This window comes from Homo sapiens, chromosome 5 (assembly GCF_000001405.40).
Source record: "Homo sapiens chromosome 5, GRCh38.p14 Primary Assembly".
In the NCBI taxonomy this organism is placed as follows: domain Eukaryota; kingdom Metazoa; phylum Chordata; class Mammalia; order Primates; family Hominidae; genus Homo; species Homo sapiens.
The window spans coordinates 177,588,083-177,614,833 of NC_000005.10; the positions used below are offsets into that span (position 1 = coordinate 177,588,083).

The 26,751-nt window shown below is 52.6% G+C and overlaps 2 protein-coding genes across 7 annotated transcripts, besides 5 other annotated features; both read left to right on the forward strand.

Moving 5' to 3' along the window:
* On the forward strand, positions 4,121–9,160 carry TMED9 (transmembrane p24 trafficking protein 9). Its single transcript, NM_017510.6, has 5 exons — positions 4,121–4,316; positions 4,493–4,593; positions 5,568–5,693; positions 6,057–6,203; positions 7,185–9,160. Exons 1-5 carry the CDS (start codon positions 4,133–4,135, stop codon positions 7,332–7,334), a joined length of 708 nt encoding a protein of 235 aa, NP_059980.2. The 5' UTR covers positions 4,121–4,132; the 3' UTR covers positions 7,335–9,160.
* Positions 5,326–6,525: an enhancer, noted in NCBI's record as "BRD4-independent group 4 enhancer chr5:177020409-177021608 (GRCh37/hg19 assembly coordinates)". NCBI's record gives its function as "activates an origin of replication core promoter dependent on BRD2, P300/CBP, MED14 and CDK7 cofactors, and independent of BRD4, by STARR-seq in HCT116 cells {active_cell/tissue: HCT116}" and the evidence as "EXISTENCE:reporter gene assay evidence [ECO:0000049][PMID:35650434]".
* Positions 11,203–11,302: an enhancer, noted in NCBI's record as "active region_23731". NCBI's record gives its function as "activates an Ori minimal core promoter by ATAC-STARR-seq in GM12878 lymphoblastoid cells {active_cell/tissue: GM12878}" and the evidence as "EXISTENCE:reporter gene assay evidence [ECO:0000049][PMID:35858748]".
* Positions 11,503–11,682: an enhancer, noted in NCBI's record as "active region_23732". NCBI's record gives its function as "activates an Ori minimal core promoter by ATAC-STARR-seq in GM12878 lymphoblastoid cells {active_cell/tissue: GM12878}" and the evidence as "EXISTENCE:reporter gene assay evidence [ECO:0000049][PMID:35858748]".
* Positions 11,863–12,402: a silencer, noted in NCBI's record as "silent region_16704". NCBI's record gives its function as "represses an Ori minimal core promoter by ATAC-STARR-seq in GM12878 lymphoblastoid cells {active_cell/tissue: GM12878}" and the evidence as "EXISTENCE:reporter gene assay evidence [ECO:0000049][PMID:35858748]".
* Positions 12,050–22,248, forward strand: B4GALT7 (beta-1,4-galactosyltransferase 7). 6 transcript variants are annotated; one of them, XM_047416681.1, is made up of 7 exons: positions 12,050–12,178; positions 13,344–14,111; positions 16,097–16,459; positions 19,220–19,445; positions 20,457–20,540; positions 20,828–20,932; positions 21,458–22,248. In XM_047416681.1, the coding sequence occupies exons 3-7, from the start codon at positions 16,389–16,391 to the stop codon at positions 21,611–21,613; spliced, it is 642 nt and encodes a 213-aa protein (XP_047272637.1). In that variant the 5' UTR covers positions 12,050–12,178; positions 13,344–14,111; positions 16,097–16,388; the 3' UTR covers positions 21,614–22,248. The 6 variants fall into 6 exon arrangements, with proteins under 6 accessions (XP_047272637.1, XP_047272638.1, NP_009186.1 ...); XM_047416682.1 differs by having other exon boundaries at positions 13,344–13,396; NM_007255.3 differs by lacking the exon at positions 13,344–14,111.
* Positions 18,540–19,143: an enhancer, noted in NCBI's record as "H3K4me1 hESC enhancer chr5:177033623-177034226 (GRCh37/hg19 assembly coordinates)". NCBI's record gives its function as "activates a minimal SCP1, AML or CMV promoter by ChIP-STARR-seq in naive H9 embryonic stem cells {active_cell/tissue: H9 hESC(naive)}" and the evidence as "EXISTENCE:reporter gene assay evidence [ECO:0000049][PMID:30033119]".

A 26,751-nucleotide genomic window follows, 5' to 3' on the forward strand; every position in this document is an offset into this window, starting at 1 on the left:
AGGGTGAGGCAGGAGAATCGCTTGAACCTGGGAGGTGGAGGCTGCGATGAGCCGAGATGTTGCTACTGTACTCCATCCTGGGTGACAGAGTGAGACCTTGTCTCAAAAATCAAAACAAAACAAAACAACAAAAAAACCCCACAAACTTCTACTTCAAGTCACTAGAATAAGAAGAACAAACTAAATCCAAAGCAAGCAGAAGAGGAAAAAATAACAAGCAGAAACCAATGAAATTAAAAACAGAAAAGCAACAGAGAAAATCAATGACACAAAAAGCTGATTCTTTGAAAAGACTGATAAAATTGACAAACCTCTTACAAGACTGATACAGAAAAAAGAAGACATAAATCACCAGTATCAGTAATGAAACGGGTGACATCAGTACAGACCCTGCCCACATCAGAAGGATCATAAGAGAATAATTCCACGGACAACTTTACATACATATGTGGGGGTGTGTGCTGCAGACCTCAACTCAACGACAGATGAATAATGTACACTGACACAGATATTCTGCTTGTCAGTCAGGCCGATTGTCCAGGCCCCCTACAGACTCCCAGGAGAGTGCTGTACATTTGCAACGTGGCCCCGACTCCCCGCCTCCTACTCGCTGGCCTTCTCGTCATTTACTTAGCACACATTAAACACAGCAAAAGTCTCAAGTAAACACCATTAGAGGGTAATCAACCTGGTCGCCTTCCCCTGCCTCCCCCAGAGCGCCATCCTGCCCGCGAATGATTAAAGGTTACTTTTAGAACCACATGAGTAAACAAGCTATTTAGATAGACTCCTCTACATTCCTATGTTACTTACCCTTGCTATGGCTCAAAGAGGATTAGGCCGCTTTCAGCCAAACTATCTGAAGCTAAGCAAAAACCTTTTGGCCTTCCAAGTTTTGTGTTTTATTGTATAATTTTCCCCACCATCCTGACTGAACCTCTACATACATAAATGTAACAATTTAGGCAAAATAGATCAATTACTCAAAAAGCACACACTATCACAACTTACTAGTATGAAATAGATACTTTGAATAGCCCTATAGCTATTAAGGAAATTTAATTCATAATTAAAACACTCCCCAAAAGGAAATTTCAAGGCCCAGATGATTACACTGGAGCATTCTACCACACTTTTGTTTTTTTTTTTGAGATGGAGTTTCACTCTTGTTGCCCAGGCTAGAATGCAAAGGTGCCTTCTCAGCTCACCAAACCTCTGCTTCCCAGGTTCAAGTAATTCTCCTGCCTCAGCCTCCCGAGGAGCTGGGATTACAGGCATGTGCCACCACACAGGCTAATTTTGTATTTTTAGTAGAAACAGGGTTTCTCCATGTTGGTGAGGCAGGTCTCGATCTCCTGACCTTGTGATCCTCCCGCCTCGGTCTCCCAAAGTGCTGGGATTACAAGCGTGAGCCACCGTGCCCGGCCAAAGTTGACTGTTTTTAACTGTACACTTCAGTGGGATTAAGTACATTATATTGCCATAGAACTCTCACCACCATCCATCTACAGAACTCTTTTTATCTTGGAAAACTGAAACTCTATACCTATTAAACAATAACTTCACTCTCCCTGTCCTCCAGTCCCTGGCAACCACCATTCTGCTTTCTGTCTCTGTGATTTTGACGACTCTAGTACCTCATATACATGGAATTACCCAGTATTTATCATTTTATGTCTGGCTTAGTCCACTTAGCGTAATGTTTCTTCAAGATTCATCTATGTTGTAGCATGTGTCAGAATTCCCATCCTTTCTAAGGCTGAAAGGATTTCCATTGTGTGGATGTACCATATTTTGCTTATCTATTCATCTACTGATGAAGAACTGGGTTGCTTCCATTTTTTTTTTTGCTTGTGAATAATGCTGCTGTGAACATATGTGTACAAATATCTCTTTGAGACCCTACTTTTAATTATTTTGAGGATATCTCTAGATATGGACTTGCTGAATCATATGGTAATTCTATTTTTATTTATTTATTTTGAGACAGTGTCTTGCTTTGTCACCCAGGCTGGAGTGCAGTGGCATGATCACAGCTCACTGTAGCCTTGACCTCCCAGGCTCAAGCAATCCTCTTGCCTCAGCCTCCTGAGTAGCTGGGACTACAGGCGCATGCCACCAGATCCAGTTAATTTTTGTATTTTTTGTAGAGATGGGGTTTCGTCATGTTGCCCCGACTGGTCTCGAACTCCTGGGCTCAAGCAATCCTCCTGCTTCTGCCTCCCAAAGCGCTGGAATTATAGGCGTAAGCCACCATGCCCAGCCTATTTTCACTTTTTTGAGGAATCATTATACGGTTTTCCACAGTGTCTGTACCATTTTACATTCCCACCAACAGTGCACAAGGGTTCAATTTCCCCACATCCTTGCCAATGCTTGTAGTTTCTTTCTTTTCCTTTTTTTTTTTCTAGTGGCCATCTTAATGGGTATATGACGTAGTATCTCATTGTTCTTTATCTCATTGTGATTTGTGTTTCTCTAATGATTAGTGATGTTGAGTATCTTTTCATGTGCTCACTGGCCACTTGTTGATCACTGGAGAAATGTCTATTCAAGCCCTTTGTTGTGGTTTTTGAATGAGATTGTTCTTATTTTGTTGCTGAGTTTTAGGAGTCTCTGCATATTCTGGATATTAATCCTTTGTCAGATATATGATTTGCAAATATTTTCTTCCATTCTGTGGGTTGCCTCTTTACTCTGCTACAGAGTCTTTTGATGCACAAAATGTTTTAATTTTCATAAAGTCCAATTTGTCTATTTTTTCTTTTGTTGCCTGTGCCTTTAGTGTCATATCCAGGAAGTCTGTTGCCAAATCCGATGTGGTAAACCCTTTGCCATATGTTTTCTATGAGTTTTATGCTTTGGGATTTTAAAAGTTGTGGGTCTTTTTGGGTGAATTTTTATCTATGGTGTTAGAGAAGGAACCACCTTCACTTTTTTGCATGTGGATATCCAGTTTTCCCAGCACCATTTGTTAGAAAGACTGTCCCTCCTCCCCGCATTGAATGGGCTTGGTCTCCTTGTTAAAAATTATTTGACCATATATGGGAGGGCATATCTTGGGGCTCTCTATTGTATTCCATTGGTCTATATGTCTGTCTATATGCCAGTACCACACTGTCTTGATGACTGAAGCTTGGAAGTAAGTTTTGAAATCAGGAAGTGTGAGTTCTTCAGCTTTATTCTTATTTTTCAGGATTGTTTTGGCTAATCGAAATCCCTTGAGAGTATATGAATTGTAGAATGAGTTTCTCTGTTTCTACAAAAAATGTCATTGGGATTTTGACAGGAATTGCATTAAATCTGTAGATTGCTTTGGATAGTATTGACATCTTAACTATATTAAGTAAGGATGATTTTTTTTAAATTACTGATTCAATCTCCTCACTAGTTATAGGTTTATTCAGATTATATTATCTATTCTGAGTCAGTTTTGCATTTCTATGAATTTGTCCATTTCATCTACGTTATCCAATTTGTTGGCTTATATTTGCTCATAGTACTCTCTTATGATCCTTTCTATTTCTGTAGAATTGCTAGTAACGAGCCATTGCAGTTGGGATCTGGCAGCAGAGGCTGTGTGTGTGTTTGTGTGTGTGTGTGATCGGAGAAATGCTTGAGAGGGTAACACCCGATTTAGGAGTGGACAGGGTATGAGGACAAAGAAGTGGTAATGGGAGACCTTGCCTTTTATTTCTTTTAATCTTTTTTGATAATACATTTGTGCATTATTTGGTCGTTCTCTTTAAATTCATTTTTAAAGGTAGAAGCAAATCAAGACTGGTAGATGCTGTGCCAAGGAAAGTCAGGGATCCTAGGTTCGAATCCTGTCTCTGTTCGCAATTCGCTCCGCAACCTCAAACAAACGACCTCAGTTTCATCTATGAAAAGCTGGTAACCATCGTCAGTTGCCAGGCCATGAAGAGAGTCAACGGAAATAAGTTTTTATTCTAGGGCACCCGCTCTCTCTCAGGTAAAAGCCGCGCCCCAATCAGGTACTGCCGCGCCAGGGCCGCGGGACATCTCGGGATTTGTGGTCCACCCGGCGGAACTCGCGGTCCCGGCAGGCACCGCGGCGGCGGCAGGGCGACGTGGCGCGGCCGGCTGCGGCTGCGCAGGCAGGTGGAGCAAGATGGCTGTGGAGCTGGGCGTGCTGCTCGTCCGGCCCCGGCCCGGAACCGGGCTGGGTAGAGTGATGCGGACCCTCCTGCTGGTGCTGTGGCTGGCGACGCGCGGAAGCGCGCTCTACTTTCACATCGGAGAGACGGAGAAGAAGTGCTTTATTGAGGAGATCCCGGACGAGACCATGGTCATAGGTGCGGGGGCGGGGAGGAAGGGGCGAGTTTGGAACGTGACCGTGGTCTTGGGGCGGGGGATGCGAGACAGTCAGCTCTCTAGAGCCGGGAGGAGACGGCCTCGCCGTGCCCAGGCGGTCGCGGAACCCATGCCACCTCGCGCTCCTCTGACCTGGGCTCGCCCTGCTTCCCTCAAGGAAACTACCGGACGCAGCTGTATGACAAGCAGCGGGAGGAGTACCAGCCGGCCACCCCGGGGCTTGGCATGTTTGTGGAGGTGAAGGACCCAGAGGACAAGGTGAGCCAACCGCCCCCCTCCTCTCCGCCAGCCTCTCAGCTAGGCGGGCTCCGGTACTTCCTCTTCTAGTTCCTGCATCTGCTAAAGTGGGAGAGACAGTTGATGTTGTGGGAATATCCTGCTGACTTGCAGACCCCGCCCGGTCTGTGAAATGGGCGGATTAATTGTGGTGATAAAAATCAAAGAGTTTTGTCAACTCTTAAAGTCATCTAGACTTTAAGATTTCACAGAACATGATACTTTCCCCACAAAATGAGCAGCTTTTAATCTTCCCAAGTAAGGATATTAAAACGAACGGCAAAACCCTTCAGCTCTCACCTTCTGTCACTTTTCGTTAAAAAACTCATGGCGGGGTGTGGTGGCTCTTGCCTGTAATCCCAGCACTTTGGGATGCCGAGGCGGGTGGATCACTTGAGGCCGGGAGTTCAGGACCGGCCTGGGCAACCTCCGTCTGGCAAACCCCGTCTCTAGTAAAAATACAAAAAAAAAAAAAAAAAAAAATGAGCCGGGTGTGGTGGCGCACACCTCTAATACCAGATACTTGGGAGGCTAAGGCACGATAATTGCTTGAACCTGGGAAGCTGAGGCTGCAGTGAGCTGAGATAGCATCACTGCACTCCAGCCAGGACGACAGAGTGAGACTCTGTCTCAAAAACAAAAACAAAAAAGAACCCCCCAAAAAACAACTCACACCAAAAAAGTTGAAAGGGCATAAGCTATAAAGGAAAGCCCTTCCCAAGAGCAGTCAGTCACTTGCCACCCTAATGTCAGACTCTCAGAGTCTAAACACCTGCCCCAGAGAGTTCTCACACAAGCATATGGCAACAGCTGCTGAGCAGCTTTGAATCTTTCAGTGTTGTGAGGTGCGAAAGGCTGTGCCTGTCAACTTTTGCAGTACTTAGAGCCTTAAGCACTGTTTTCCTCCATTCCCATCCCTACCATAATACTGACTGAAGCTTGTTACCTTCCTCCAGGTCATCCTGGCCCGGCAGTATGGCTCCGAGGGCAGGTTCACTTTCACTTCCCATACCCCTGGTGAGCACCAGATCTGTCTTCACTCCAATTCCACCAAGTTCTCCCTCTTTGCTGGAGGCATGCTGGTAAGTGGGCCCATGTGAGACTTGCAGGTTTCAGCCTTCATCCTTTGGTGAGGACTGGGGGACTGGTGGTGCTGTGGGTGTGAGAGGATTATGTCAGATTTTGTGTCTCCTAAGAACACTGGGTTTCCACTGGATGTCCAGGACACAGTGACTGAGCTCTTTGTACATGCCTCACTCAGAGCACCAGCCCAGGCTTAATACTTGCTTGTGTGCCCAGAGCCTCATGGGGCTAAGACACTGAAGAGGGCCCAGTCTGTTGGCTAAATGAACAGATGAAGGAAAGTCGGGGATGAGCTGTCAGTCTCTGGCAGGAAGATGGAGCAGGGCTACCAGATTTCCCTTATCTCCTTTGTCTGTCCTCAGAGAGTTCACCTGGACATCCAGGTAGGTGAACATGCCAATGACTATGCAGAAATTGCTGCTAAAGACAAGTTGAGTGAGTTGCAGCTACGAGTGCGACAGCTGGTGGAACAAGTGGAGCAGATCCAGAAAGAGCAGAACTACCAGCGGGTGAGTGACTGGGCCGGGAGCAGTGGGCTTCTCCCTAGAAGCTGCCCACTGGCTCAGCCAGGAATTTCACATTAAATTCATTCTGAGACCCCCAAGGGACTTACCTGCACTGCATTGTAGGTCGTGGGGCGGGTATTACTAACTCGACCTTGTAATTGAGGATACAGACTCGTAAGAGGCTGTCATTGCCCTAAATCACAGTTACACACAGAATGGCACAGTAGCATTTGATACCAACACCTTGGGTGCTGTTTCAGTGGGTCCACATGCTCCCAGGACCAGGGTCTCAAACTTACCGGTGACCAGGAACCAGAGATTACCATAAGTGAATCTGTGACCTTAAGGACTAGTAGGGCAGTGACCCATCTAAACAAGCACAGCCACTGTTCAGTGTCACCTGGGGGCTTCCTTGCAGAAATACCAGCCCTGGCTTTACAGATGTTCCATTTTTTCAAGAGGAAATAGGATTTTTATGCGAACATTTTAATTTATTTTTTATTTTTTTCTATTGCTGCTGCACAAATTACCTGTGTTTTAAATGTTGACAAAAGACTGTGCACTGTGTGAGGCCAACAAAACATACCTAAAGGCCAGATCCAGCCCCCAGCCTGCCAGTTTACAGCCTGTGCCCACCATCTTCAAGGAGCAGTGTGGGAGACCTAGGCAGAGGGCTTAGAGCAAGTCCACTCCTGTGTGCTCCAGGACAGCTCTGCCTCGTGGGGTGATACCACAACTACCTTACCTCTCTCCCAGGCACCAGGGCAGGACTAGGTGAGGGCTATGCCTGACAGATGAAGAAACAGACTTGGGAGAATGAGTAGGTTGCCTGAGGGTAAAGATAGTCCCCAGGTAGAGTGACACTTTGCAGGCACTTGGCTGGAACCTGGGCAAAGCTGGCTGACCTTGGGCATCCTCTTGGTCTGGGAATCAGCAGTTCTAGCAGCCCCAGCCAACTCAGGCTCACCTTATATTCCCCTGCAGTGGCGAGAGGAGCGCTTCCGGCAGACCAGTGAGAGCACCAACCAGCGGGTGCTGTGGTGGTCCATTCTGCAGACCCTCATCCTCGTGGCCATCGGTGTCTGGCAGATGCGGCACCTCAAGAGCTTCTTTGAAGCCAAGAAGCTTGTGTAGCTGTCCCAGGCGTCACAACCCATCCTCCCAGGCTGGGGGAGAAAGGACCTCCTGGAACTGACTTCTTCTGTCAGGAGGACTGGTTTCCAGCCATACCTGTTCTGGAAGGGAGAGGGGCTGGAGGCACCCACAGGCACAAGCTGAAGGCAGCAGCTTGGCTAATACTGAGCAGGTAGTGGGGCAAATTCCTGCCCTCTCTCTCTGGCCTCTGGGCCGTTTGGTAGTAATCACCCAAGGGCTGGTAAAGCCCCTCCTCTTGGCACCTCAGAATCACAGTGTTACTGATCAGGGATGTGAGGCTGCTGTTGGGGGTGGGGGGAGGGGAATGGGCAGGCAAGCCAGTCTTCTGTCTTCCTTTGCTAACTTAGGGTTTTGAGCAGGTTGGGGTATGGTGCCTGTCATACCCACCTGCCACCCTGGGAACCTCACTGTTCTCTCTTTCAGCCTAGACCTGCTGATCCAGGGTGTGTGTGAGTTGAGGGTGGGTGGAGGGGTTTGCAGTGTGGGAATGTGGCCCTGCAGTTGACCTGAGCTGCTTCACATGGTTGTCCATTCTGGGGCTTAAAGAACTGGGACCAGACCAAGTAGAGGCCTTGGTGCTGGTTGGGGTGGGGCCTGCAGAGTCTTAGTTACTGATTTCATTTTCAATAAATGTAGGTTTGTTACATGAGTTTCCCAATAAAAAAAAAAATGACTTCTTGTCCAGTGCAAGTGACTCAGTCATCAGTGGGCACACACTGCAGGGTGCCTCAGGGAATGCCAGTTCTTCCAAAGAGCAAAGCACTTCACATTCCAAAGTGAATTCCCACCAGTCAGCTTCATTCTTTCCTTCTTCTCCAGGCCTTCCTGTGGCAGGGAATAGTGGGTTTGTCCAAGATTATACAACAAGTAAATTGGGCTGGGGCTCAAATTTACACCCTTTCCTCTGTGCCAGCTCCCTGGTGAAGTTCCCTCTTTCTAGAGTCAGTAAGCAGGATTGTCATGGATGCTGCCAGGAAGTGCCTGGTAAGGAGGTGCATTGAGCAGGGGAGTGCTACAGGACAGCCACCCTGGGCTGGCAGGGACAAGGATGTTGATGGGCTAAACCAACAGCAAGTGATTTCAACCAGGACCATGAAGGAGAGGAAGGATTCTGCTGGAAGGAGATGGCAGGACAGGGGTGGTTGGAGAAGTGGAGGCAAACAGCTGGAATGGAGGTGGGTGGGTGTTTAATTTCAGCTGCAGAGGGTGTTGTGAGGAAGCTGGAAAGGAAGGTTGGATTAGAGAAGCCTCGAGCTCCAGGTAAGCGATTTGGACATGCCCACCTTTCAAGAGGGGCTGCAGGCACCCACAGGCACAAGCTGAAGGCAGCAGCTTGGCTGGCTTAATACTGAGCAGGTGGTGGGGTAAATGCCTGCCCCCCTCCCTCTGGCCTCTGGGCCCTTTGCAGTAATCACCCAGGGTCTGGTAAAGCCACTGAGAGCCCTACTGGCACCTCAGAATCACAGTGTTATTGATCAGGGATGTGAGGCTGCTGTTGGGGGTTGGGGGAGGCAAATGGGCAGGCAGTTTTGAGAAGAACCTTCTAATAAGAAATGTGAGGGAGGTTACAGCAGTGTGTGAGAAAGACCAGGAAGAAGGAGACAAGTTTGGGGGCTGCTTCCCCTAATGGGATGATGCAATCTGGGCTCATGCTGCCAACTAATTCTTCCACATGAAAAAAAAAAGTTTTTTGGCGGGCACGGTGGTTCACACCTGTAATCCCAGCACTTTGGGAGGCTGAGGTAGGTGGATGGCCTGAGGCCAGGAGTTTGAGACCAGCCTGGCCAACATGGTGAAACCTCATCTCTACTAAAAATACAAAAAATGAGCCAGGTGTGGTGGCGCATGCCTGAAATCCCAGCTACTTGGGAGGCTGAGGCGGCAGAATTGCTTGAACCCAGGAGACAGAGGTTGCAGTGAGCCAAGATCACACCACTACACTCCAACCTGGGCTACAGTGAGACTCTGTCTCAAAAAAAAAAAAAAAAAAAGGCCGGGAGCGGTGGCTCACACCTGTAACCCCAACACTTTGGGAGGCCAAGGCGAGCAGATCACGAGGTCAGGAGATCGAGACCAACCTGGCTAACATGATGAAACCCCATCTCTACAAAAAAAAAAAAAAAAAAAAATACAAAAAATTAGCCAGGCGTGGTGGTGGGCGCCTGTAGTCCCAGCTCCTTGGGAGGCTGAGGCAGGAGAATGGCGTGAACCCAGGAGGCGGAGCTTGCAGTGAGCCGAGATCACTTCACTGCACTCCAGCCTGAGCAACGGAGCAAGTCTCCATGTCAAAAAAAAAAAAAAAAGTATTTTTAAAGAACAGCTTTAAAAGTGCAGAAAAATTGTGAAGACATTTTCCCTATTAGTAACATCATGCATTACTTTATCCAGACTTCCTTAGTTTTTACCTACTGTCCTTTTTCTGTTCCAGGATTCCACATCACATTTAGTCACTGTGTCTCCTTAGGCTCCTTTTGGCTGTGACAGTTTCTTAGACCTTCCTTGTTTTTGATGATTCCTTGACTGTTTTGAGGAGTACAGGTCAGGTATTTTGTACGATTTCTCAGCTAGGATTTGTCTGATGTTTTTCTCATGATTAGACTAGAGTTGTGGGTTTTTGAAAAGAGACCACAGGCTGGGCATGGTGGCTCACGCCTGTAATCGCAGCACTTTGGGAGGCAGAGGCAGGCGGATCACCTGAGGTCAGGAGTTCGAGACCAGCCGCCAACATGGTAAAACCCCGTCTCTACTAAAAATACAAAAATTAGCCAGGCGTGGTGGCAGGCGCCTGTAATCCCAGCTACTCGGAAGGCTGAGACAGGAGAATTGCTTGACCCCGGGAGGCAGAGGTTGCAGTGAGCCGAGATCGTGCCACTGCACTCCAGCCTGACTGACAGAGTGAGACTCTGTCTCAAAAAATAAATAAATAAATAAAATAAAATAAAATAAAAAAGTAGAAAAGAGATCAGAGTTGAAGTGTCATTATCAACATGGCTCTTAGCTGGATATCACATTTAAAAATTAGATAATTTGGGTTTTCATTTGAGATCTGATTTCTTGAGAGTGTGAATCTGACAATCTGAAGTAGAGCTTCATCCTGATATAGTAACAGCTAACCGGATGGAGTGGTCCCCTTTAGATGGGCTGTGCATTGACCACGGTTCTGGGGTAGGATGCAGTGCCCTGGGGGAGTCAACAGGAAGGGGAATGGGTGGATTATATACTTCCAGGTTTACGGGGTAAAGGGGTTACTGGGAATGATTCATTTCCCACCCACGGTGAAGTTCTCTCTGGAGCAGAGTGATTAAGATCATAGATTGTGGGGAAGAACAAAACAAAAACCCCAAACCCATAGATTTGCAACCAAACTACCTGATTTGCCTCTCTGTGCCTCAGTTCTCTCAATTTTAACTTGGGGATAAGCACCTACCGATAAGGACTACGTGAGATAACCCTCATGTAGTAAGAACTATTAACAATGACTGGCACATAATAAGAACTTAATAGATGTTTGCTATCTATTAGGAAACTTAAAAGTTTGCCTGGAAGAGCAGAGGAGGTCAAGTCTAACAATTGCCGCTTTCTTTCCCCAGGTAGGAGGCTAGTAGGAGGGGTGGGGGGGCTGGGGGTGAGGGGGATGGTTAAGTTCCCACGGTGACGGGGCAGATATGGGAACTCAGTCTCCTATTCCCTTCTTCAGTTCTCAGCTCCACCAAAGTACCCTTTTCCTGGATGACAGCTGTCATTTATATGGCGTTGAACTGTGTGCCTAGCGCTGCACAAGTGTTTGCACTTTCTCCTTGAATCCCCACAGCTACCATATAGAATAGGAGCCATTGATATACCCAGGTGAGGAAACAGATGCAGAGATGTGGCTTGGTCAAAACACAGCTGAATTGGCAGAGTCTAGTTTCTTTTTCTTTTTCTTTTCTTTTTTTTTTGACGGAGTCTCGCCCTGTCACCCAGGCTGGAGTGCAGTGGTGCGATCTCGACTCACTGCAAGCTCCGCCTCCTGGGTTCACACCATGCTCCTGCCTCAGCCTCCCGAGTAGCTGGGACTAACAGGCGCCCGCCACCACGCCCGGCTAATTTTTTGTATTTTTAGTAGAGACGGGGTTTCACCGTGTTAGCCAGGATGGTCTCGCTCTCCTGACCTCGTGATCCGCCCGCCTCGGCCTCCCAAAGTGCTGGGATTACAGGCGTGAGCCACCGCGCCCGGCAAGCAGAGTCGGGTTTCAAATTCAGTCAACTTGTCTTCAGGGCTCGGCTCCTAACGCCTGCGCGGGCTGTCAGCTGAACTCAGCGCCGAGCCGTGAGCTTGGCTTTGCCCCTCCAAGCTTGCGCGGAGAACGCGCCGCCTGGGCCGAGACGGGGACCCCGGGACGCTCCCGCCTCCCCTCGGAAAGAGGACGGAGATGCAGATTCTCCCCGAGCGTTGGTTTGGGAGTCTGGACTCTTAGGTCCAGTCCCAGCCCAGTGATTTGTTGGGAGGCCCTGGGCCTCTGGGCTTCAGTTTCTCGGGCTTCCAGGCGGGTCCCGGGGCGGCTAGGAAGGAGCCGCCCAGAGAGGGAGGCGCGCCCGCGCTGCTCGCAAGCAGAACCTTGGAGGCGGCGGCTCCGGGAGCTGGCGGCGCGGCCGGAGCGGCGGACCCGGCGGACCGGGGGGCGGGGCGGACAGGCCTGGGCGGAGCGGGAGGCGGAGGCGCCGCGTAGGCCCGGGAGGCCGGGCCGGCCGGGCTGCGAGCGCCTGCCCCATGCGCCGCCGCCTCTCCGCACGATGTTCCCCTCGCGGAGGAAAGCGGCGCAGCTGCCCTGGGAGGACGGCAGGTGAGCGGCGGCGGTGGGCCCGGGCCCCGTCCTCCCGGGCGCCGCTCCCTTCTCGGCCGCCGGCGGAATCTGGGAACCCGAGGCCATCACGTCTCCATGTCTGCGGGTTTCTGTGAGGGCGTGTGGTTCTCCCTGTGGGTCCCTGGCGCTCTGTTCCGGTTTCTGTCTGTCCCTGTGGGTCTCTGCCTCCCCCGCCCCCTCTCCCTTTCCGCGGCACTCGTCCTTCCCCCAGCACCTTCCCCCCGGCCCGTGGGTCCGTATTTCTCCATTGACTTCCCTTTGTGAGTTTCTGATCCCCTCTTTGCTAGTCTCTCTCGTTATGTGTTTCGTTGTGTCTGTGTTTCTCCACCAGCCTCCCTCTATCTGCATGCGGGTCTCTGACTCCGCTGACCTCTCACCATGGATTTGTGTTTCTCAATTTGTCTCTGATCCCTGAGGACGTGTATTCCGTTTCTCTGGTCTCTGCCTTCCTCATCACATCCATATAGCCTCAGACCCTACCCTTCCTCCTTAACACTTCCCCCCATCCTTCGCAGGCCACCAGCAGAACCCACCAGACAGAAGCTCCGTGCTCTGCCTGGCTGGTCACTGCCTGGCACGTACTAGACACTCCTTATACACGCATTAGTCCATTTCCTGTGCAGCTGTATTGGCCCTACGTGAAAGATGCGAGCTTGGCCCACACCTTAGCTAATTTTGTTTCTCACTAAAGCAGAATGGGGAAAGCGATTTGACTGCCTCCATTCGTGGGGCACTTGAGATGTGTCCCTGTAAGTCTTCTCACAGAACACATGACTGGATCTCCTCCTCGTGAATGACACCTCATTTCCTTCATGTTTCTTAAGTCCGTCAGGTGCCATAAGATTCTGGAATTTAGTGGCCACAACTTGTACTTTTGGGGATTTTTCAGACTTGGTGTTGAAAGGGGAAAACAGGAATATAATAGAAAGCGTGGACTAGCGTTCGACCTGGGCAGGAGTCCTCCGTAATTATGTGAGCAGAGACCCCTGCATCTGTCCGACCGCAGCCTTTCCGTCACTGAGCCAGTTATGACAGTATTGGCTCTGCAGGGCTGTGTGAGGATTAAAGGACCGCACACATGTAAAGAGCATGGCACTGCCTAGCACAACAGGAGGTGCCAGTTGTCTTCCCGTTACCTTTGCAGTTTTGAGGTCCTGTAACCAGAGCAGCTGAGGATTCAAACCTCGTAGTACGAAGGTCTGTATGAGACAAGAAAGGAAAGGTAACAGAGGAGCATTTCTATTTCCTGATCCTTTTCCATAGCTGTTTCCAGAGAAATTTACTGATGTCAATTCTGTGCTTTTGACACAGGGTTGGTGCAAAGATCCACGCAACTGATGCAGGCTAGTGTAGCTATCTAGTGTAGGCTCTGGAGCCAGCCTGCCTGGGTTTGAATCCGCCTTTTACTAGTCTTGGGCAGTGATTGATGAGGGAGACAAAGCCTCTTCTGGACTGCCCCTCAGAGCCAGGGTGGCCTGGGCCTGGGAGCCACTGGGACTGCAAATCTGGTTTGCCACCTGGTGGCACCAGGAACAATTGTTCTCGGTGTCCACTGTCCTGAGGAATTGGGACTCTGGGTTCAATCCAGTTGCTCTGCGGTTTGTGCTCTTAGAGCACAGGATGATGCCCATGGGGATGTGGTCCTCATAGGAGAGGGGAGCAGGGCCGAGGGAATTAGCGTGTGGACGTGCTCGGAGTACCCAGTCCACGCCGTTCCCCTGGATAATAGTCACTGCTTCTTTTCATGAAGGTGGGATATCACCCCATATCCATCTCTCCAGTCTCTACCCTGTCCCCAGAAAAAGCCCAGAGGGCAAGGGAGAATCTGTAGAGGTTCCAGCCTTCCCAGACCACTCTCAGGACTGGGCTGTGCTCCTCCCCAGCTGAATCCACCACCACAGGATAATGGGGGGTAAGTCAGAAGCCCTGGGGGGTTTCCTACCAGGCCACCTCTCAGCTGCGTGTGGAACCTGGGCCTGGCTGCAAGGCTACTGGCTTCCAGGTTGGCGGTCTCTCTAGAAAAAGGGAGGAGTTGGTCTGGCTTTAGCATGTGACTTAAGGCATGCCCTGACTGCCTTACCCCTTTCTGTAACTCACTTGGCAAGCTCTCTGCTGTCTGGCCTGTGCTTGCTGTGCTGGGGCCACAGATAAGAATCTGACACGGCCTGAGAAGCAAGGACACAAGGCATTACAAAAAAGTGGGAAGATGCCGTGGGAATACAAAAGTGGGAGCATTATGGGGGCAGGGGGCAGTGCTGGCCATGACATTGGAGTTCGGCTCTGAAGGATCAACAGGGGTCCTCAGGCAGATAAAGAAGGACATTTCAGGCAGAAGGAGCAGGCTGTGTGAGGGCTGGAGCAGGAAGGAATATAGCAAGTGGAGAAGCTCCGAGGTGCCCAACATGAGAACATGGGGCGAAGGCTTGGGAGCACCTGGAGTTGGGGCCAGGTCATGGAGGGCTTTGACTGTCAGGCCAAAGGGCTTGGCCTTTGTCTGGCAAACAGAGGAGGGTCATTCAGAAGACTGAAGGGGTCTGAGCAGGGCAAGGAACAGATGAGTGAGGAAGGATCAGAGGGGGACTTAGGAGATAGAATTTATTTATTTATTTATTTATTTATGAGATGGAGTCTCGCTCTGTTGCCCAGGCTGGAGTGCAGTGGCGTGATCTCAGCTCACTGCAACCTCCGCCTCCCAGATTCAAGCTATGCTTCTGCCTCAGCCTCCCAAGTAGCTGGGACTATAGGCGCGTACCACCACACCCAGCTAATTTTTGTATTTTTAGTAGAGATGGGGTGTTACCATATTTGCCAGGCTGGTCTTGAGCTCCTGACCTCGTGATGCACCTGCCTCGGCCTCCCAAAGTGCTGGGATTACAGGCGTGAGCCACCACGCCTGGCCAGGAGATAGAATTTATAAGACCTGATAGCTAATCGCTGACTCTTAAGATTGTGAAGTGGATTCCTTTGCAGATTACTTTGGGGAGAAGGTAGGGGGAGTACAGAGGAAGCTTCTCCCTTCATGGATTCCTCAGCTCCTGTCTCAGCATACTCAGGAACTTCCAGAGGAGCGGCAAAGGAATCTGGTGAATTCTGTTTCTTTGTATTTGCTAACCAAAAGGCTGTCTCCTGGCATCACCCCAGTGTCTGTGATGTTCAGCTGTTTTTCCAGTTTCTGAAATCAGTGCCTGTGCTGTACCCAGCCCTCATCTTTCTTTCCCTCTCCATCTCCCATCTTTTATCATGAGCTGCCTCTTGGACTAAAGGTTTGAGGCTCGTTCAGTGAACCGCCACTGACAGTTTGGGCCTTGCATTGCTTCGGGGGGCACGTCTGATCTTCCCAGAGTAAACATTGGTCATTTTACCTGGACTAATGCCAGCACACACCCGTGTCTGGGTGGCCTTTCTGGTCATTCTTGGAAGCAGGATGGAGCCACGGTTTCTGCTGGGGTGGATCTGTAGGGGAGCGGGTTTGGAAAGCAGTGGGTTGCATCTCTAAGGTGGGGACTCCTGTCATTGGCTCAGGACATTGAGCCACTATCGTGGGGAGGAGCACCTGCAAGTGACAGGAGCCTCCTCATCCTTGCCCTGAGCAGCTCTGACCAGGACTCAGTCACAGAAAGTAAGAGAGCATTGAGGAGCCGGGGCAGCTCTGTGAACTGGGAGTGGTTCAGAGGGCTTCCCGAGAGCGGGTGGCATGGGTTGGGTCTAGAGAGGCAAGCAGGATTCGGATGCATGGTAGTGGCATGAGCAGAAACATTAAAGTTGCTTCTGTACTAATTCCCAGGTGCTTGGGGTAGACGAGTTATGTGCAGCCTCCTCGTGGGGAGGCCAGAGAACGGGTCTGTCACAGGGCCAGCCCTGCCCCGCCCTCCTGACCCTGTCCCGCGCTTGCTCCAGGTCCGGGTTGCTCTCCGGCGGCCTCCCTCGGAAGTGTTCCGTCTTCCACCTGTTCGTGGCCTGCCTCTCGCTGGGCTTCTTCTCCCTACTCTGGCTGCAGCTCAGCTGCTCTGGGGACGTGGCCCGGGCAGTCAGGGGACAAGGGCAGGAGACCTCGGGCCCTCCCCGTGCCTGCCCCCCAGAGCCGCCCCCTGAGCACTGGGAAGAAGACGCATCCTGGGGCCCCCACCGCCTGGCAGTGCTGGTGCCCTTCCGCGAACGCTTCGAGGAGCTCCTGGTCTTCGTGCCCCACATGCGCCGCTTCCTGAGCAGGAAGAAGATCCGGCACCACATCTACGTGCTCAACCAGGTGGACCACTTCAGGTAGCGCCCGCCCCCACCCTCTCCCCTCGGCACCCCTGCCCGGGCTCAGGCTTCTCAGGCCCTGTGAGAGGCCACCTGGGGCAGGGGCAGGAGGGCGGGAGGTGGCAGACCCCTCTCACTGGGTGTGACAGGAACCTTTGGAGAGGGCCCTGATCTAATTTCCATTTTGAAAAGCTCACTGTGGCTGCCGTATGTGGAATGGATTATACCAGGGCAAGAGGAGAAGCAGGGAGAGCAGTTAGGTGGTCACTGCTGTGGTCTGCGGTGACAGTGGCTTGATGGCCTGGTGGGGGGTGGGTAGAGAGAGGTGCTGTGGAGGAAGCCCAGACAGGACTCCCTGGGGATTGGCCCGGGGATTAGGGAAAGGGAGGGTCAAGGCCACGGCTTTAAAGTTGCCCACAGTCTGGCGTTATCCTAAAATCCCTGCCCTTACCAAAAAGTGCTCCCTTCCATGACCACAGCCTGAGATCTCACCCACCAGCCCCCACCTCCTTTCCCTCTAGGTAACTCCCACTGGAAGATGGATTCTCAGCCCCACCAGCCTGATCTTCCCACCTTTTCAAGTCCCCTTGATCCAGATCCCCAGACCCCCCCCTTTTCCCTGCCACCCTTCTTGTCTTTACTTCCTCCTTACCCAACCTGGAGTCCAAGGTCCATCATTAAAACCCTCCCTGGCATACTCCCTCAAGCCTCTGGTCCCTTGCTGCTGGCGTAATCCCAGCCTGATTTACTCCAGCTCTCTGCTCCACACCTGTGCCTGGGCACTGGAGGGTATGGAGAGGAAAGACAACACGTGAGGCGGCCATGCTGCTGTCCCCATGCCGATGATGCCCCTGCCAGGAAGGCCCTCTGCCCTGCTGGGAGCCTCACTTTCCTCTGGTCTGTCCACTGCAGCCTTTAAAACTATCTGTTCTCCTCATTCATCCCTCGTCCTCACTCATAGCTGACGACTTTGCTTCCAATTTCAGAAAACAGAATGAAATGGAAGAGAACTTTCCCCAGTTCCCTCCACAACTCACCTGCCAGCCTCTGTGCACAGGGACTCAAGGCTGTTCCAGCTTCTGTCCGGGCTGACTCCCACCATCCCCATCCTTCAGTATTTCCCCCCACCCCACAGTTGGGCCCTTCCTCTCCCTCTCGATCAGCGTTCCTCTCCTGGAGCATACCCATGAGCACACACACCCTGAAGTGGCTCCTCTCTCAAAGGAAAAAGACTCCCTGGATCCCACATCCCTCGAGGCTGTCACCCTTCTCTGCTTTCTGGCAGACCTCCTTCCCTTTCTCTCCCCTCGTCTCTCTTGAACCCCTTCCGCTCAGACTCCTGCACCCACCATGGCACAGAGCAGCTCTCACTGAGGTCACCAGCCACCTCCTCCACTCTGTTGGTCCAGAGGCCATGCTGGGCCCTCATCCTGTGGACCTGCCAGCAGCATCTTCTTTCGTAAAATGCCCCTGCTTGGGGCAGCACCCTCTGGTCCTCCCTCTGCACTGGCTGGGCCTCTGTGTCTGTGGGTTCTGCTCATCTCCCCGAGCTCTCACCATCGGGGCTTCTCTGGACTCGGTGCTTCGGCAGCCCCCCTTTTTTAACTCCAGGTGTTCCTTGGGGCATCTCATGTCATCTCCAGCATTAAACCACGTCTCTGATGATTCCTGAGGCTGTTTCCTGGAGTTCTCTCCTAAACTCCAGGCTCAACAGCCCAGCCATCTACACAGTCCCTCCACGTGGTGGCCTCAGAGCTACTGCAAGCTTCCATGATCACAGCTGAATTGCTGGTGGCCTGCCCTGCCCCAAACCTGTAGCTCTGTCCTCTTCTCCATGGGAATGGAAGCTCTTTGCTCTCATTGCTCAAGCCCAAAAGCCCGGGGGTCATCCTCAGCTGCTCCTTCTCTGTCATACACTGCGTCCTATTCGTCAGCAAAATCCATCTAGAATCTGCCCGCTTCTCGCTGTTGCCACTGCCACCTCCTGAGCTAGGCCACCTTCATCTTTTGGTCTCTCACCTAAATCATTGCCATAGTCTCCCAGCTGGTCTCCCTGCTTTCACCCCTGCTCTGACAGTCTCTTCCAGCACAACAGCTAGGGCGGTCCTGTCCAGGCATAAGTCACAGCACGCCTCTACCCTGCTCAGAGCCTCCATGGCACCCATCTTACCCGAGTCAAAGCCCCGTCCTTCAGTGGCCCTTGGGCCTTGTGCAGTCACTGTGTCACCCCCAACATCCCCACCTCTGCCCTCGCCCTGCCCAGCTGCCCGTTGGTCTGCTCCTGCCTCCTGCCGTGGCAGTGCCATCTCTCCTATGCAGAGCCCTAGGCACCCACTGCCCTGTGGGTCATCTCTTCAGGCCTTCAGGTTTCTGTCACTCAGTTCCCCTGGCCCTCCCTGACGGCCCCACCGAGGACAAGAGCCACCTCCACCCCCAGCAAGATCGCCCTCCTTGCCTGCTTTGCTTTTCCCCCCAGCACGAACCACTGCTGGCCACGCTTTGTGTTTGCTTGTTTCTGTTTCCTTCTATTGGAATCTCAGTTCCTTGAGAACAGGGCCTGGTTTTTCACTGCTGTACCTCCCGTGCTTTGAATGGTTTCTGGCACATAGTGGGTGCTTAGTAAATATGCGATGAGTGGAGGGACTGCCCCACAGGCTGAGTGAAGTCAGTGCTGGGCCAGAGGGCAGCATAGGCACCATGGGGACCCCCGGGTGGGTGCTGAGCCCCAGGCAGTGAGCCCGTGTGCTGCCCCTGCCCAGCCTTGCCCACCCTGCACAGGTTCAACCGGGCAGCGCTCATCAACGTGGGCTTCCTGGAGAGCAGCAACAGCACGGACTACATTGCCATGCACGACGTTGACCTGCTCCCTCTCAACGAGGAGCTGGACTATGGCTTTCCTGAGGCTGGGCCCTTCCACGTGGCCTCCCCGGAGCTCCACCCTCTCTACCACTACAAGACCTATGTCGGCGGCATCCTGCTGCTCTCCAAGCAGCACTACCGGCTGGTGAGGCCCGGACAGCCTGCTCTGCTCAGAGCCGGGAGCTCCCTCCAGGCTGCGGGTGGTGGGAAGGATGGGGCAGTGCCTCTGGGGCCCAGCAGATGGAGCCCTGCCCTGGCCTAGCAGGAGAACTTGGGAGCAGCCAGAGTGCGAAGAGCAGGCGAGCCAGTCAGCCGCAGCAGCAGAACTGCTTGCACGGGGGCTTCAGAAACCTGGGTGGTTAGTGGCCCTTAACACTGAAGAGTGTAGGGGCGGTTCAGGTGTACCTTGCCCACCTCTCAGACAGTGTCACCAGGACCCTGTTTCTCTGTGCATCTCCCAGCTCTCCTTCCCTGCACTGGGTTTATTGGCAAGGTGGTGGTTGTTACTGCAGTCTGTATCCATCTAGGCCCCGGGCTGGTGGGAGATGGGGCCCTTCCCTTGTAGCTCAGGCAGGAGTCCCGCAGTGAGCTGCACTGGCTCTTGATTGGCCGGCTTGAGTGCTGAGCCCACCCCTCAGCCAGTCACTGGCTGGTGGACGGGCAGGCAGGAAGAAGCACTTGTGGCTCAGGCCTGGGTGTCCTCCTCTCCAGGCCATGGCAGGGGCCAGCTTTATGTAAATGAAGCCCCTGAGCCAGGTGCAAGAATGGGTGTCTGTCATGGAACCCTGCTACCCCTCTCACACACACAGGAAGAGATGAGGGCAGGGCCACCAGGAGAAAGGGGAATGGGGGAAGCAGAAATCAAGTAGGAGCTGGCGCTTCTGCCCATCGACAGTTCCCCACAGAGATCCCCTCTGGGCAGCCAGCCGTTTTTGAGAAGGTGAGCCTCTCACACAGGTTCAAGGCCCCGTGAGAACGGGAGAGGGCCCGGGACGCGCTGCTTCCTGCCGCCCGCACTGCAGAAGTGCAGGAGCCTGCAAGCACCCGGGGCTTATTCAGAGGCGCTGGGGGAGAGGGGCACTCCCGAGCGGTAGGAGACCAAAGGCCCCCCCCCCCGGGAAGATGGGCCGAGTGACGCTGCTTGTCTCTGTGTCAGTGCAATGGGATGTCCAACCGCTTCTGGGGCTGGGGCCGCGAGGACGACGAGTTCTACCGGCGCATTAAGGGAGCTGGGCTCCAGGTGAGATTCCCCGGGCCCCGCCGCCACCTCAGCTGCGGTGGCTGCCCTGAGATTTTCTTCTGTTTCCTCAGATGAAGCTCCTGGGGTCTGGAGATGGCCCTGATTCTGATCCCTGCCCTAACCCTGCCCTGCATGGTCATCTAGCCAGTTCCTTGCCCTGTGGGCCCCAGTCTCCTCTCCTGCAGGCTGGGAGTGCAGGTCCCTTCCTGTGGGACCTCGGGAGCTGGTGGTGAGGGCTGGGGCTCCAGGAAGGGCAGCCTGACCCCGACTTCCTTGGACCTCCCTAGCTTTTCCGCCCCTCGGGAATCACAACTGGGTACAAGACATTTCGCCACCTGCATGACCCAGCCTGGCGGAAGAGGGACCAGAAGCGCATCGCAGCTCAAAAACAGGTGCTGGCAGGGCTCCTCATTGGGGACAGATAGGTGGTCATGTGGGGAGCCAGCAGGCCCGGGCTTTCACCAAGTTCTCCTTGGCCCAAATGGTCCCATCCTCCCCTGCTTGGCCCAGGTCAGTCGACGGGCATTCTGCTTGGGCACCGTGCCCTGCTCTGGTGGCTGCTGTGGGCACCCTGGGCACTGTGGGTCAGCCCAGACCTCAGGGTCCATGCAGGCTGGCAGGGTGGGGTGGCGGAGGCGTAGCTGAAGGTGCCAGAATCCCAGCCACACCCGGGATGCAGGGATCCCACCCTCAAACAGCCCCTTCTCTAGGAGGCTTATGCATCCAACTGGAGATCCCGGCTCGCCTGCTTCCTAGTGGGGCACAGCCCTGGGCAAGAGGCTTCACTGCTTTGAGCTCTGGGTTCTTCCTCTCCAGTGGGGACCACAGGACCTCTGATGGCGAGGTTGTGTGGGGTCAGTGGGTAGCTGGCACCCATGCAGCCCTGAGTCCGTGCTCTTTCCTCTCTTCCTCCCCAGGAGCAGTTCAAGGTGGACAGGGAGGGAGGCCTGAACACTGTGAAGTACCATGTGGCTTCCCGCACTGCCCTGTCTGTGGGCGGGGCCCCCTGCACTGTCCTCAACATCATGTTGGACTGTGACAAGACCGCCACACCCTGGTGCACATTCAGCTGAGCTGGATGGACAGTGAGGAAGCCTGTACCTACAGGCCATATTGCTCAGGCTCAGGACAAGGCCTCAGGTCGTGGGCCCAGCTCTGACAGGATGTGGAGTGGCCAGGACCAAGACAGCAAGCTACGCAATTGCAGCCACCCGGCCGCCAAGGCAGGCTTGGGCTGGGCCAGGACACGTGGGGTGCCTGGGACGCTGCTTGCCATGCACAGTGATCAGAGAGAGGCTGGGGTGTGTCCTGTCCGGGACCCCCCCTGCCTTCCTGCTCACCCTACTCTGACCTCCTTCACGTGCCCAGGCCTGTGGGTAGTGGGGAGGGCTGAACAGGACAACCTCTCATCACCCCCACTTTTGTTCCTTCCTGCTGGGCTGCCTCGTGCAGAGACACAGTGTAGGGGCCATGCAGCTGGCGTAGGTGGCAGTTGGGCCTGGTGAGGGTTAGGACTTCAGAAACCAGAGCACAAGCCCCACAGAGGGGGAACAGCCAGCACCGCTCTAGCTGGTTGTTGCCATGCCGGAATGTGGGCCTAGTGTTGCCAGATCTTCTGATTTTTCGAAAGAAACTAGAATGCTGGATTCTTAAGTGATATCTTCTGATTTTTTAAATGATAGCACCTAAATGAAACTTTCAAAAAGTATGGCAGGCCAGACAAAATGTGTCGTGGACCGCTCACATGTCACTTTTGGCTGAGGGGCAAGGGGACGGGTGAGTTACAAGCTGGCAAGGAATTGGGGTGGGGCGGGGACGACAAGTCCAGGGGGGAGGAGAAGCCAAAGGTGTGAGGGTTCCTGTACTACCTCCACCCCACCAAGGCTTCTGGGCAGCCCCCGAATGCCCTTCTGAGCAGTCTTACCACCTTCAGGCTCTCTCTGGGTAAGCTTCCTCCGGCCTCACTGAGACACGGAGGAGGGAGAGTGGCTGAGGAGATTCACCCACAGGACTGGAGAGAGGCAGGCAGGGCACTCAGCCGGTGCCTCGGGTCATGGCTTGAGTGGGGAGGAGAAGGGGAGAAGTGGGAGGATCCCTGTGGTGTTCCCTCAGCACAGAGGGATTACAGTGGTCACTGAATGCCCAGGAGCAGTGAGAAGACATGAACTGGGGAGTGCTCTTGGGGGAATCACTTGGAGGGAAGCCCAGAGCCCATGAGAGTGGGAGGCAAGGGACCCTGCATGTAGGCCACTCCAAGGCATTTGGCTGCCAAAGATGCAAGGCAGAAGGCAGAGGAGACCATCAGGCCCCAGTAATGTGGGTTTGTTTTAACACCAGGACACCTGGAGTCCTGAAGGAAGGGATTCCTGAGCACCATCCCAGAGCTCAGGAAGGTGGAATCCACAGCTCTGGTTCAAAAGACTTCTCTGAGGATGATCAGGGCTGCTGTGTGCAGTTGTGTGGGTTGCGCACTGTGTAACCTGTGTATAAGCCGAGGGATTTAAGCAGAAAGGGCTGGGGTAAAGCTTCAGGTTCAGGTGTTTAGTCCAGGGTCTTTGTGATCCTAAATTGACCTTCCCCATCGATTCAGCCACACCCACTATTGTGATGGGCAGACAGGCCTCGACTCTAGTGCAGGGGTGGTGGAGAGGGGACTGTGCCAGTTCCCTGGACAATCCCAGCTGCTTCATCTTGGACTGACATGGACACCAGGCAGTAACACCAGCTCTTGGGAGTTGGTGGGAACAGGTGTAATATCAAAGCTCCCAGCTCTGCACTCTCCTGTCACATAGGAAGACCTCAGAAAATGGAGGTTCCTTCCTTTCCACCTGCACTGGGGGAGTGCAATGAGCAGAAGAAAAGCGAAGGTCCCTCCACCTTCTGAGATCAGCTGACACCTGAGCTTAGGTGCATCCCTAGCCCTGCAGCCTGTTGCTTCCCTTGACCGCCACCCCCACCTCCATCTTCAAGGCTGTGCTGGGCACTCCAGGCTGGGCCTGACGCGTTCCAAATCTGCAGCTCCCCTCACTCTGCATCCTGGGCCTCCACCACTCTCCAGGAGAGTGGGAGACGCCTGAGCCATGGGTGGCGAGAAGCGGCAGTCCTGTGCCGCCTCAGTGCCCCACTTGCCTCCTTCGTGGAATGGACTTGACATCCCTGCCTTGCTGGCCAGGGCGTGGCCGAAACCTACCCAGGATGTAGGAGCACCTGGCACAGCGCTTGGCCAGTGAGGCGGTGGTTGCAATAATAATAACCATCCCTTGTTGAACATTCACCAGATAACCAAATTCTCCACACCGCATTTCACTTAGGCCTCCCTACCTAAGAGCTGGGTCCTAATTCACTGGTTCTGTACATCAGGAAGGCAAAGCACAGACAGGCAAGTAGCTTGCCCAAGGTCGCAGAGCTGTAAGGGATGGGGGGCTGGGATTGGGAACCCCTGGAATCCACTTTCAGAGCCAGGTTTCTTCCCCTTTGCCCTGTACAGCAGGTGCCCATGAGCAGGTGTTCCTTCCCTACAGGCCTCCCTCCTCTCCCCTGCTGGAAAGGGCAGATGGGGAGGGCTGAGAGGAAAACAGGGGCATGGTGGAGATGCAGAGGATCTGCCTCAGGCTCCGCTGCCTCGAGGAAGACAGGGATTCTGCTGCTGGGTGCTGAGGAGCGCCGATGGGGCATTAGTGGGACCCAGAGTGTGGCACTGTAAATGAGAGCTGTGTGGAGTGCTTGGGGAAGGCTTCCCCGAGGAGGCAAAGTCTTGCTGGTGGAGAATTTGTCAGCAGGAAAGGGAAGGGATCATCATGTGCAAAGGCAGGCAGCCTGGAGCCAGCATGTGTGTCAGGTACCCAGGAGCAGCTGGAGTGTTCCTGGCACCCACGATACTGTGCAGAAGTGGGGAGGTGGGCAGCAGAGGGAAGGCTGGGGTGAGTCATGAGGATCTGTGAATGCCACACTAAGCAACTTGTACTTTATTCTAGGGGTGCAGGGGCTTTGAGAAGTTTCAAGCATGGGAGAACTTTTTTTGTTGTTCTTTTTGAGACAGGGCCTCTCTCACTCTGTGGCCAAGGCTCGAGTGCAGTGACGCGATCTCGGCTCACTGCAACCTCTGCCTCCCGGGTTCAAGATTCTCCTGCCTCAGCTTCCGGAGTAGCTGGGATTACAGGCATGTGGGACCACGCCTGGCTAATTTTTTGTATTTTCTTAGTAGAGAGATGGTTTCACTATGTTTGCAATCTGCCCGCCTCAGCCTCCCAGAGTGCTGGAATTATGTGTGTGAGCCCGGCCAGGGGAGAACTTTTGAACACTTACCTGTGTTCTATGACACAGATCCTTTGGGGGATAACAAAGATCCTTTGGGGGACCCAGGGTGGACTGCAGGGTGGAGTCTGAGGAAGGAGAGCACCCAGTCCAAGGGAGAGATGGTGAAGCCAGAATGAGGCAGGTGAGTGGGCGTGGGGATGCTAAACCCCCAGAGCCAGTAGGAGCCCTCCCTAGCAGGATCAATCAGACGCCATCAGGCCTTCCCTTCACGGAGGGTCGACTCCACTGCAGACTGTTTCCCAAAAGGCCAAATGGACGGACACATGGCCTTTTTGCTATCTCAGCCCTCATGCCTTGAGAACATATTTTACAAAACAAAAAAAGAGAACAGCAACTTTCAGTTTCAGCATCAACATGTAAACAGCTTGGCAAAACCCCATCTCTACTAAAAATAAAAAAAAAATTAGCTGGGCATGGTGGCGGGCACCTGTAATCCCAGCTACTCGGGACGCCGAGGCAGGAGAATCGCTTGAACCCTAGAGGCAGAAGGCTGCAGTGAGCTGAGATCACGCCATTGCATTCCACCCTGGGCAACAAGAGCAAAACTCCGTCTCTAAATAAATAAATAAATAAATAAATATAATAAAAACACCAAGAGCGATCTCTATAACAAGAAAAAAGAGCCTGTCTTACTGAGGCCCTACGACAGTCACCCAGCTCCAGCCGCCTCTAGCCTTCCTGTCTCACCTAAGGAGGTGGGACAAAGCTAAGACACCTGTGAAGACACCAGGGATACGGATGCACTAAAAGACCAAGATTTAATCATAAAATTAGAAACGTGCTTCCCCGTTTCCTAAATCATACCACCACATCAACGGGGCTCCAGTGTAACAGCAGTGGATTGTAGCTGAGGGAGCTATTAGGCACAGTAATTTTTTTTTTTTTTTTTTTGAGTTGGAGTCTCGCTCTGTCGCCCAGGCTGGAGTGCAGTGGTGCAATCTCGGCTCATTGCAACCTCTGCCTCCCGGGTTCAAGCGATTCTTCTGCCTCAACCTCCTGAGTATATGGGACTACAGGCATGCACTGCCAAGCCCAACTTATTTTTGTATTTTTAGTAGAGACAGGGTTTCGCCTTATTGGCCAGGCTGGTCTCGAACTCCTCACCTCAGGTGATCTGCCCATCTTGGCCCCCCAAAGTGTTAAAATTACAAGCGTGAGCCACCACACCTGGCCTATGTTGGTTTTTAAAATGTTAAACCTGTTTTGCACATATGAAATAAATCCTGTTAAATTGTGGTGTATTCACAGATTCACATTTATTCATAAATTCAATTTGCTAATATTTTGCTAATAGTTGCATTTATATCAGGGATCCCTAACCCTCAGGCCTGGGACTAGTAACAGTATCAGGCCACATAGCAGGAGGTGAGTGGCAGGTGAGCCAGGATTGCCACCTGAGCTCTGCCTCTAGTCAGATCAGCGACAGCATTAGATTCTCAGGAGTGTGAACCCTATTGTGAACAGCACATATGAGGGATCTAGGTTGCAAGCTCCTTATGAGAATCTAACTAATGCCTGATGATCTGAGGTGCAACAGTTTCATCCCGAAACCATCTGCCCCACCCACCATGTCCCATGGAAAAATTATCTTCCATAAAACTGGTACCTGTTGCCAAAAAGGTTGGAGACCGCTGATCTACGTTCATGAGAGGTATTGGTCTGTAGTTTTCCTTTCTTCCAATGTTTTTATCTGATTTTGATACAGGAAATGCTAACTTCATGAAATGAGTTAGGAAGTATTCCCTTCACTTCTATTTTTTGGGAAGAGAATGTAGAGAATTGGTACCATTTCTTCCATAATGTTTGCTAGATTTGACAACAAAACCACTGGGTCTGGTGCTTTCTTGTTTGCAAGGTTGTTTATTGACTTCCATAATTTATCAATTTCCATAAT